This window comes from Homo sapiens, chromosome 6 (genome assembly GCF_000001405.40).
Source record: "Homo sapiens chromosome 6, GRCh38.p14 Primary Assembly".
NCBI lineage: Eukaryota > Metazoa > Chordata > Mammalia > Primates > Hominidae > Homo > Homo sapiens.
This window is the reverse complement of record NC_000006.12, coordinates 140784239-140797098: the sequence shown is the minus strand read 5'-3', so window position 1 is coordinate 140797098 and position 12860 is coordinate 140784239. Positions and strand designations below refer to the sequence as shown.

General features: G+C 34.1%; 2 long non-coding RNA genes across 5 annotated transcripts in view; one reads left to right on the top strand and one right to left on the bottom strand.

Moving 5' to 3' along the window:
• Positions 1-3317, top strand: part of LOC102723724 (uncharacterized) — a 104643-nt gene extending 101326 nt beyond the window's left edge. The window contains exon 7 of the long non-coding RNA XR_428030.5: positions 3281-3317. This is a non-coding gene — a long non-coding RNA (uncharacterized LOC102723724). The remainder of the gene's footprint in view (positions 1-3280) is intronic.
• An 8346-nt stretch (positions 3318-11663) lies between these two features.
• LOC105378027 (uncharacterized) overlaps positions 11664-12860 on the bottom strand; it is a 246946-nt gene continuing 245749 nt past the window's right edge. For 3 of the 4 annotated variants that reach the window (XR_001744385.2, XR_007059791.1, XR_001744388.2), the window contains 2 exons: positions 12308-12465; positions 11698-11879 (listed from right to left, as the gene is read on the bottom strand). This is a non-coding gene — a long non-coding RNA (uncharacterized LOC105378027). Of the gene's footprint in view, positions 11880-12307; positions 12466-12860 lie in introns of all 4 variants that reach the window. The other variant, XR_001744387.3, reaches the window with a different exon arrangement.

Below are 12860 nucleotides of genomic sequence, written 5' to 3'. Positions count from 1 at the left end.
ACACAAAAGACCCTGGATAGCCAAAGCAATCCTGAGCAAAAAGAACAAAGCTGGAGGCATCACAATGCCTGACTTCAAAATGTACTGCAAAGCTATAGCAACCTAAACAACATGGTACTGGCATAAAAATAGACAAATGGACCAATGGAACAGACTAGAGAACCACAAATAAATCCATGCATTTACAGTCAAATACTTTTCAACAAAGTTGCCAAGAGCATACATTGGTGAAAAAGAGTCTCTTCAATAAGTGGTGTTGTGAAAACTGATATTCACATCTAGAAGAATGAAACTAGATTTCTATCTTTCACCACATATGAAAATCATACTCAAATGGATTAAAGACTTAAATATAAGACCCCAAACTATGAAACAACTAAAATAAAACTTTGGGGAAACTCTTCAGGACAATGGTCTGGAAGGGTTTGTATGTAAGACCTCAAAAGCACAGGCAACCAAAGCATAAATAGACCAATGGGATTATATCAAGTGAAGAAGCATCCACCCAGCAAAAGACACAGCCAACAAAGTGAAGACACAGAATGAAGAGACAATATTTGGCAACTATCTGACGACTACTAACTAGAATATATAAGGAACCCAAACAATAGCAAAAAAACGGATCAAAAAATTGGCAAAGTATCTGAATAGACATTTCTCAAAAGAAGACATAAAAATGGCCAACAGATATGTTAAAAATGTTCAATATTACCAATGCAAATAAAAACCACATCTTACCCAGTTAAAATGGCTTTTATTTAAAATGGAATATCAAGCCTGAGCAACAGAGCCAGACACTGTCTCAAAAACAAAAAACCAACAACAAACAGGCTGGGTGCAGTGGCTCTTGCCTGCAATCCCAGCACTTTGGGAGGCCTAGGTGGATGGATCATGAGGTCAAGAGATCAAGACCATCCTGGCCAACATGGTGAAACCCTATCTCTACTAAAAATACAAAAATTAGCCGAGTATGGTGGCACACGCCTGTAGTCCCAGCTACCCGGTAGGCTGAGGCAGGAGAATCGCTTGAACCCAGGAGGCAGAAGTTGCAGTGAGCCAAGATGGTGCCACTGCACTCCAGCCTGGTGACAGAGCGAGGCGAGACTCCATCTCAAAACAAACAAACCAACAAAACACAGAATAACAGATGCTGGCAAGAATGCAGACAAAAGGGAATCCTTGTACATTGTTGATGGAAATGTAAACTGGTAGAGTCACTATGGAAAACAGTATAGAGGTACTTCCAAAAACTAAAAGTAGAACTACCATATGATTTTGCAACTCCACTCCTGGGTATATATCTAAAATAAAGAAAATCAACATATCAAAGATATATCTGCATTTCCATGTTTACTGAAAAACTTCATAATAACCAAAATATGGAATGAACTAAAGTGCCTATCAGTGGATGAATGAATAAAGAAAATGGAGTATATACACACAATGGAATATTATTTAGCATTATAAAAGAATGAGATACTGTCATTTGCATCAATATGAATGGAAATGGAAGTAATTATGTTAAATGAAATAAGCCAAGCACAAAAATATACATATTACATGTTTTCACTCATATGTGATATCTTAAAAAGTGGATCTCATGAAGAAAGACAGAAAATTAATAGTTACCAGAAGCCAAAGAATGGTAGGGGGAGGGGAGGAGTTGAAGAGAGGCTGTTGATTAATGGGTAAAAATATATAGTTAGATAGAACAAATAAGACCTAGTGTTCTATAGATTAGTAAGGAGATTATAGTTAACGTTACTGTACATTTCAAAATAACTAGAAGAAAATAATTCAAATATTCCTAGCATAAAGAAACGATTAATATTTAAGGTGATGGATATCCTAATTACCCTGATTTGAACTTCATACAGTATATGACTATATAAAATTATCATATGTATCTCCAAAATATGTACATGTATTATATATTGATATGGTTTTACTGTGTCCCCACCCAAAATCTCTTGAGTTGTAATCCCCACGTGTTGGGGACAGGACTTCTTGGGAGATGATTAGATCATGGGGCAGTTCCTCCATGCTGTTCTCATGATAGTGGGTGAGTTCTCACAAGATCTGATGATTTTCTAAGGGGCTTTTCCTCCTTTGTTTGGCACTTCTTCTTGCTGCTGCCATGTGAAGAAAGATGTGTTTGCTTCCCCTTCTGCCATGATTGTAAGTTACCTGAGGCCTGCCCAGCTATGCAGAAGTGTGAGTCAATTAAACCTCTTTCCTTTCTAAATTACCCAGTCTCAGGTATGTCCTTATAGCAGTGTGAGAACTGACTAATATGTATATCAATAGAAAATAATAATAATAAAGAAAAAACAGAAAACAAAAATAGATGATGTAATGTCTAACATATTAATCATTACTTAAAATTTTAATAGTCTAAATACAACAATTGAAAGAGAGATTAACAGAGTGGATTTATTTAAAACCCCAACTATATGCTATATATAAGAATATACTGCAAATTTAATAACATAGGTAGACATAAATTATAAAAGCAAAAAAGACAGATAATGTAAACTTTAAAATGTACCAGTAGCTTATTAATCTCAGATAAAATAGACATCAGCGCAAATAAAATTACTAGAGACAAAAAGGGACATTACATGATAAAAAGATAAGTCCTCAAGGAGAAATAATGATCCTAAATGTGTATGTAACAAACAACAGAATTCATGAAACAAAATACACGAAATATAAACCAATATATATTAAAGAAGAAATAGGCAAATCTGTAATTATACTGAAGAATTTAACATCCCATTCTCAGCATTTGATTAAAAAAAACTAGCCAGAAAATTAGTAAATATATGGAAGAAATGAATAATGCAATGAAACAACAGAATGTAAATCGAACACTTTAGGCAATGGCAGGAAACTATACCTTCTTTCCAAGCACCTATGGAAAATGTACTAAAATACACCATATTCTGAGCCATAAAGCCACCTTAACAAACTAAAAAAAATTGAAATCATATGAAATGTTTCCTGACCATTATAGAGTCAAACTAGAAATTAACTACAGAAATAAAACAAGAAGATCCTCAAACAGTTGGAAATTTAATAACACACTCTTAAGCAATCCATGGGTCAAAGAGGAGGTCACAAAAGAAATTTTTTACAAATACATAGAAATGAATGAAAATATTATATATCGAAGTTTGTGGATCATAGCCAAAGCAATGCTGAGAGGGACATTTATAGCACTAAATATTTACATTTGAAACAAAGAAAAATCTTAAGTAATTTAAGTTTTTTTCCTCAGGATAATAGCAAAAGAAGAGCGAAATAAATCCAAATCAAACAGAAGGAAGAAAACAACAAAGAGCAGAAACAAAACGAAAACAGGAAAAGAATAGAAAAAGTTTAATGAAATCAAGAGTTGATTATTTAAAAACATCAACAAATTTACTAAACCTATATTTTTAATCTTTTCCCTTTGATAACTTTGGTATTAACAAATTAATAAACCTATAGTAAGACTAACAAAAATAAAAAAGAAGACACACATCTCCAAGTTACCATGGAACCCAGTATGCTTGTCACAAACTAGATATAATAAGAGCTACCAAGCATTAAAGTTGGCTATGCACAGCAAAACCCCACCAACACATGAAGTGTTAGATACTAGTCTGGGCACCAGCAATTCCCAAAGGCACAAGGACATCACATGAGCAGGTGACTCATATTCTCATACACCTTACTCCAGTTACGTTGCCTCCTTTCTTGCAACCAACGCCTAAAACCTCAAGGAGAGTTCTTTGTGACCTGTTGACTGAGGATCTGGAACACTGGGCCTGATTTATATATGGTTCTGCACAACCTGCAGTCTCCATTCAGATGTGAATAGAAAAACACAACGGTTCTTATGAGAATTAATCGTAAAAGACAGTGGTTATAGGAAAGTAACATAATCGACAGAAATATGCCATGAACTTGATAGTCCATTTTGCCTGAAAGTAGAGATGGTTAGAGTTACGGCTCTATGCTATTCAGAGAAAGTATCTAATGGTTTGACTGAATAGCCTGAGATTTAGAAGAAACAGCAGAAAATGAGTGACAAGGGGAGGCTAGAGAGGAGCTATGTGCACAGGTATTTTTAAATAGTCAAAGAGGGGAAATATCTGTGTCCTTTTTAAATGGTCAACAAACTACAATATCTAAAAGTAGAATCTTAATTTTCAATCAGAGAAAATAATCTGTTCTGTGGACATTGGCGAGACTCTTTGCTCAGACACCTCTGTTCTTAAAGGTCTCATGACAAAATGGCATGGCAGTTGAAATGAAGGTCACACACGGGCTCAGTAATGTGCATTTTATTTACTGGTCCTTCCACATTTCCCCTAACTCTGAAGCAGGTTGCCTGATAGAATGGTTGGAAAGTATTTTGAAGACTTAGTTATTACAACATCTAGATGACAACACATTGAAAGGCTGGGTAGTATGATCCAAGATATATGCTAAATATTAGAAATTAATATATTTTACTATTTTTTCCTAGAAAAGATGTACAAGTCTGAAACTCAAAAGACAAAAAGAGAATATTTTCAGTCATTATTAACTCTAATAATCCATGAGCAAAACTTTGGCTTTTGTCCCTTCAAATTTGGGCCTTGCCGGTTCATAGAACTTATTCCCAAAAGGGCAATGCTTGCACCAGGGCCACAGCAATGATTCCATTAAACTAAAATTTAAGACTTCACTTAACCAGTTTAAAATTATTATACCAGTGAATCAATAGGTAAAGAAGATGGTTAATCTGATGACTGTATAATTGATTGTGACTGTCAAGTGAAAATTGTATTACTTTTACAGAATTGGGAGACTAGAGCAGTTTGTAGCACAAGGAATATGCATAGCAATGTCTTAAAATTATTATATTCTATGAGAAAAGTTAATAGAAAATGACAACATTTCTTACAGGCAAGGAACTACTAATGTCATAGATCCTTAAGGAATAAAAGTTTTGCATTATTCCATTAGGCAAGTAATCATGAACAGTTCAAATGATTTATATGGAAAAAGAAATAATGGAGTAGGTATAAACTGGAAATTACAAATATCAAATACCGCTCTATGACTCATTACTGAAATGAATCATATTTATTTTTCAATTTTATATTTATGTGTGTGTGTGTGTGTGCCACGTGCACACAGTCAGTCCCCAATTGAGGATGGATAGAGGGCTATTGTGGCTTTTATATTATGAAGGATAACTGTAATAGGTGTGTATGATTTTGCTATTGTCTTCAGTTGGACAAGGAGTGGTATGGAATGCCGAATTGACAAGAAGTGGATGTGGCAGCTGTCTTAGCCCATTTAGTGTTGCTATGAAGGAATACATGAGGCTGGGTAATTTACAAAGAAAAGGTGTATATTTGGCTGATGGTTCTGCAGAATGTACAAGAATCATGCTGCTGGCATCTGCTGAGTTTCTGGTGAGGCCCTCAAGCAGCTTCCACTCATGGTGAAAAGTGAAGGGGAACTGATGTGTGAGAGATCCTACGTTGAGAGAGGAAATAACAGAGAGGGAGGTGTCAGGCTCTTTTTATAAAACAGCATTCGAAGGAACCAAGAGAGCAAGAACTCACTCAGTATTCATCCTAATTTCTGCCACAGCCGCCCAACAATGATTGCAGGCCCTGAGCTAGAAAGAGAGGCATTAGGTTTCCTTACACTCTGCCCAGATTTTCCTTTACAGCACCACTCTCATGGCTAAACATGTGTGGCCTCAGGAGGACTGGTCAGTGACTTTGATCCTTGAACTCCCTATATTAAACCTTGGTTTCCATTTTTTCTCTATTTCTATAATCATTCCTTTGTTCCATAAGACTTACCGTGGTTCAGTCTTCCTAACTGAACCTTGACTATTACAGCCTGATTTTGGAATTTCTCAGTTACTATTGCTCTTGTGGGAGACTCTGACACTTTGGGACAGAGCATGGGTATGTAATTGACTGTATGAGGCATAGCAGTGGCACACTTTTTGGAGACTAAAGAACCCAGTTTCTCTGTATACATTTAAAGTTCGTCCAAAAATTTATTCTTCTTAACTACTTATATCATACTGATGATAAATTTGTTGGGTACAAGCTGTCTGTTTTCTTTGTAGCTAAAACAGAATTGTATATAAAAGTACTCCTCAACTAGGTCATACACACATATTAAGCATATACACACGTATTCATATATACATATATAAATATATAGTTGAATGTTACATTTTGCTAATGCTTTCTTAAGGTGAGAGACTTTTTTATCAAAAATTACTAAAATGTTATTTGTACACTATGTGAATCAACAACCATACTTAAAATATTTCCTCCCATATAAGAGTTAAAACAATGTTATTGGTATAGTTCTTTTTGACTTTACTGTCTTTAAGTTCACATAGTAAATCTTATTAGATGATAGAATTCAAGTATTTATTCAATCTTATATTTAATTTACCAGTAGTTGCTTGAATATAAAAAACTATTTGTCATGCACAAAATAGCAAAAGCAAACTCAATATGATATTATTTTACATCTCTTAGAATGTTAAAGACTAGAAAGTTGAATAATACTCCATGGTAGTAATATCATGGGGATATAGTAAACTTTTTGCATTCCTTGTAGGAAGGCAGGCTTGTGCATTCACTGGAGCAATCTGGCATCGGGTGATCAAATTTGTACCCATTTGTTATGACATTGCAGTTCTTCTTTAGAGTATATATCCCAAAGAAAGTCTTACAGAGCTGTATCGAGGGACAGGTAGGAAGATGCTTGATTATTGCATCATTATTTGTGGTAGTAGAATGTTACAGGCAAACTGGGGGACTATTGCTTGAACTGTAGTAGGTAAAATGCAATAAATCCACACCTAGAGTATTGTTCAGGACCTCGAAGCAACACAGTTACAAGCAACAAGGTTAACGTGCCCAAAAGCGCATGAAGAATGATGGGTCTTAAAGGTATGGTGATGAATGGAGTAAGTAAGAGATATACTTAATAAGACATGTAAGACAATAGAATTTATGTAAATTAAAAATGCATATAAAACAATTCAAAATTTGTTATAGCAATAAAGAAAACCAAATAAGTACACATTAAATGCATTAGAATGTTTCCTCTAAAGGGAGGGGAATAGGAGTAAATGAAAATAAATGTGTGATACAGGAAAGGGATTTTGAAGAGGCCAATAATGTTAATCTGCCATGACCAGAGAAGGGCTATTAAATCAGCCCTATGCAGTTATAGTCTTATAACCCACAGAAATATTAAAAAATATTTTAACAACTGATATAGCACAGCTATCAACCAATTAGAAGGTTAGCCACATGGGCACTTAGATAATCACAAAGAACACTGGCTATCAAAAACCAATATAGTCACAGTAGTGTGTACCAGCTAATACGAGTCATGCCTATAACCATAAAAGAAATTGAAACACCACACCAACTATTGCATCAAAGAAGACAGATGTGTGTTCTAGCAACATGCAAGTAAAAGAACATTTCAACCATAGAGAAAACTTCCAGAAAATAATAAAAGATAAAGTCCATAGATGAGTAAAATTATAGCCCAATTTTCTCAGAATAAATAAAATATTTGAAAATATTATCAAACCAAACATACAAAGATATATGTATAAAATGTAAACACATCAGGACCAAATTAGGTATCCAACGAAGTAACTTTAAATTGATGAGTAAAATTAATTAATGTCATTATTCCATAAACAAATTCTACAAAACATCTAATAATAGATAAACGGAGTATTAAAAACTTAATATGTGCACTTTAAAAATATCAAAAAACTAGGAATGAGAGTACTTCCTTAACTTTAAAATACATTGTATAAAAATAACCAATAGCAAATCCAATATAGGTGGTCCCTGACCTACAATGTTGCTATTTATGACTTTTGGCACATACAATGGTGCACATGCATTATGCATTTAGTGGAAACTATACTTTGGGCACCCATACAACAATTCTATTTTTCAATTTTTAGTACATTATTCGGTAAATACATAAAACATTTAACACTTTATTATAAAATAGGCTTTTCTTTAGATGATTTTGCCCAAGTGTGAGTTAATATAAGTGTTCTGGGCACACTGAAGGTAGGCTAAGCTAAGTTATGATATTTATCAGGTCATGTGTAACAAATGCATTTTTGACTTACAGTATTTTCAACTTATGATAAGTTTATCAGGATATAACCCCATCATAAGATGACGAACATCTGTATATTTAATTGTGAAATGTCGAGAGAATTCCCTTTGTAACTGAGAAAGACAAGGATGCCTTCAATTCACACTTCTATTCGAAACTGTACTAAAAATTTCAAACAGTTAAAGAAGATAAGAAAAATAAACATAAAGCGTAAGTATTTGAATGAAGAGACAAAGTTATGCTATTATAATATTTAAAAACACAAACAGATCTTCATCAGAGTCAAAGACGAAAAAAAAAGTAAATTACAGACCAGTATTACTGATAAACATAGATGCAGAAATCCTCAACAAAATACTGGCAAACCTAATTCAACAATACATTAAAAAGGTCATTCATCAGGATCAAGTGAAATTCATCCCAGTGATGCAAGGAGGATTCAACATATGCAAATCAATAAACACGATACATGACATTAACAGAATCAAGGATAAACATATTTGTTTAGCCCCGTTCATATTCTATGATAGAAATTTTTCTTTTCATTTGATTTTTATTTTTTGTAAAACATTAACATGGTTCAAAAATTTAAAGCCACACTGAAAAAAAAACCAAACTCTGTAGTTACTCTCTTGATTCCTTCAACCTCATTCCCATCCATTGATCTACTGATTTCTAATCTATGCTTCCTATGTTTCTCTTTGCATAATAGTTACGTTTGTATTTTTATATTTCTGCTTTATTCTTACCTAAAAGTTAGAAAACTAGATATACTTTTTGCTTTTTATGAACTCACTCTACTTCAGTTCATGAAGATCTTCCTCATGGTTTCTACATCTGTGTGGTTCCCCACTGAGGAGATGTACTATAGTTTCTGCACAGTGATTTATTTCTTTAGCCAAAATTGGCATGTGCAAGTTTTCTTTCTTTCATAAAATCAAGTTTGATAAACTGCATTTTCCAAAGAAATAATTGACTGTATTTAGTTGTTTAAGCATATTTAAAAGTAAAGAATCTATATTATTATATTTCTCCCATCCTTTCTTTTCTTCTTTTATATTGTGTGTTTCTATCTTTTATTCTTGATTAAATTGGCTTTTTAAAATTTGGGTTTATCGATTGGTATAATCATTTGTGTTTTTCTTGTTTCCTTATTTATGATTTCTTTATACTTATATCATTTTCTTTGTCTTGCTTTTTGAGTTAGACTTGTGGTTCATTTATTATCATTCTTTTATATTTTTACTGATATAAACATGGATATAAATATTACTCTGAACACTGATCAAATGCTTGTGGTAAGAGTGCAAGGAAAAGCTCTACTGGAAACTGTTTATTTTTTCTATTTAAATTAATTCTTAAATTCTCAGTGTTTTCTATCTTTTAGCTATGCTGAAGATGTAGAATGTGTGTTCATTTTGTTCTTGCGGTTCATCTCTACAGTTTTTGAAATACTATGCAGAGAGATTTGCATTTAGGCCATTAGTATGGCTATCTGAAAGTTTAAATATTTTATTTGATCTATGGTGGTTATATGTATTAATTCATTTTGTTAAACTTCGTGGAAGTGTGTATTGATGATATGTACATTTTACTATATGTGTGTTATAATTAAATGTAAATAATTTCCCATAAAAGAAAACTTAAAAAATTAATGCTTTGTATTAGGGTTAGGTCAAGACACTTTTCAGGAGGATCAGGTAAGTGACTTTTGTAATGGTGAGATTAGCTGATCATACCAGAAGCTATAATGGTGATAATGAAGTTTCAGAGAAGGAAGTGGCTATAACGTGAACAGAATTTGGTAATAAAGAATTCTGTCTCACTAGATGTAAACAATGACAAAAACGACAAAAATAATGATTATTCATAATTTTTTATTTCAGGGACTTCATTGATTTAAAGTATTCATGTTGCGGCTAGTTGTGAGCATTGGGGATGTGGATGGGTATGTGAAAAATCGGAAAACAGAGTGAACAATGAGAAAAAATATTGCAATTCAGTGAATGTTATAATTCAATGAATATTGAATATGTATTAAGCAGCTATCATGCTGTAAAGACAGTAAAGAGCTACATATGACCGGGCGTGGTGGCTCACGCCTGTAATCCCAGAACTTTGGGAGGCAGAGGCAGGTGGATCACCTGAGGTCAGGAGTTCAAGACCAGCCTGGCCAACATGGGGAAACCCTGTCTCTACTAAAAATACAAAAAATTAGCTGGGCATGGTGATGGGCGCCTGTGATCCCAGCTACTCTGGAGGCTGAAGCAGGAGAATTGCTTGAACCCGGGAGATGGAGGTTGCAGTGAGCTGAGGTCATGCCATTGCCCTCCAGCCTGGGCAACAAGAGCGAAACTCCGTCTCAAAAAAAAAAGCTACCATATAAGATCATTTTTAGAAAAAATTAAATTTTATACCAAGTAAGTATCTAGGAACAACCAGGCATTATGTATTTTAGTGTGTGCCTTAGAGTTAAGATGTAAGTACTCAGATTGGTCACTGATGCAAAAGATGTTTCATGCTAGATGTGCACACAACATTGAACAGTACACATTTTGTGGCTCTCTTCTTTTGGACCTCTGATGACAAGCTTCATGGTAAGAACATTACCCTCCCCTGGCATCCTGTGTGCTGAGATCCAAAAGCAGTATGATATGGCATAATCCTAGCCTCCAGCTTGATTCTTCCTCTTCAGCATTCATGGTTAGAGAGAACTGTATTTCCTCTGATACAACCAAGGGCTGACTTCCAAGACTCATAACCGTAGCTTTTGGAGGTATTATACCTTTGGCCTTGGATCCTGGCCTGCCATATCTTTAGAGTTCATGAAGTCTTAAAAGTCCAGCTGTCTTTCTAGAAGATTACTTTACAAGAAGTCAGTCTTGAATAATTAACAATTACTACCTTGAAGCAGTGTGCAACCCCTGAAGCAGAAGACATGATACTTACAGTGAGGTGATAATTTTATTTTTAGTTTCAAAAGACCTGGGGAAAGTGGAACAAGTAGTAGAAAAGCAGGAAATAACATGGGAGGGATAGACATAGATATAGATATAGATATAATCTCCCATATATGTATATGTATGTGTGTGTATATATATATATGTATGTGTGTGTATATATATATGTGTGTGTGTGTGTGTGTGTGTGTGTGTGTGTGTGTGTGTGTATATATAATGTATGTGTATATCCCTGACTCTCTGGCAATCAGTTCAGAAATTAAGGAGTAAGCCTGAATCACCAGGACAAGTCATAGTTCTATGGAATAAACAGGTAGCCAAAATAAAGCACAAAATAAAAATTTTGGCAGATGTTCCAAGTTCTCCCTATTTGCAAAAATTAGCAAGAGAGAGAGAGAGAATTAATGACCAAAGGCCCAACTTCCACCTATGGAATAGAAGAAAGAAAGTAATTTAAATATTTTCCTGAGCCAACACAATATATTTTCATTTCTACTTTATATTGTTTTTGTTGTTCTTTTCACATCATTTATTTTATATTGTCATCATTTTGTTAGTTTCCTAGCTTAATATCACTACAGTCCCTTACCTTTTCTCTTACCTTTTTTGCTTTTCTTGAATATATATTCTTTTCCTTTGAATTAAAAAAGACCTTCTCTGTGTCTGTATTTAATTTGTATAATTTCTCCTGAGATAACTTCAGGTGCACAGGCAAAGAGCCAGATGTGCAATTTCTGCAGAGCTCTGCAAATTGTGTGAAAACAGGGAAGGTTAGATTTTTTTAGACTTGCTCTAAAATCATGAGAACACACCAACCAGGAAGTTTAGATTTTAAATAGTAATCCTTTGGGAAATTCCATTCCAGTAGTATTTTAAGAAATTGAAAACAAAACTTTATTTTTTAAAAGGAGATATATTGTGAAAGAGAGAGGTGATTGAGTTATGACTTGACAATTATAAATATTGGAGTTTGATTTATGATATACTATTCTTAATATTCATGTAGAAGGGAAACATTCCAAGATTGAATTAAACCTGTTTCCCATTGTGTTACAAGTCTCTTAATATACATGTTTCTGTCACAATCTGTGTGCATTCTTTGACCTTTACTTCCTGCCTTCCCCCTTGTCTTTTCCCATACAACAGTTTTGCATGGCTTATGGAGTGCTCACCTCATGAACAGGCACACTGAATCTGAACATACTGCTATTTCTGAGTCACTGGGAAAACCATTATTACTTCAAAATGATGCATCATTCATCATGTCACTGATGCCACTGTTAAAGCTTTATTCTTCGATTAAGTTGAATGTCAGAAAATACAAGTCTCCCTGGGAAAGATAACACAAAATGTTTAAATTAGTCTCTCGGAATGTAGTATAAATTCAATTTGGGTCTTTTCTTGAGAACAGAGGTTAATAGATAAAGAGGGGAAGGAAAGGATTATAAAATCACTGGGTGCCTAAGGAATAGGGAAGTATCACTAGAGAAGGAAATAAGAGCACAGAGAAGAGGCCAGAGAGGTCAAAGGTTAATTTCCCCTACTTTTCATTTGGGACAAGGCCACAGAATATAGAAGGAATCAGTCATAATTTTGTTGGGTGCTGATAATATTTTATTTTATTTTATTTTAGCTCCAGGATACATGTGCAGGATGTATAGGTTTGTTACATAGATAAACGTGTGCCAGGGTGGTTTACTGCACCTGTCAACCCATCACCTAGAT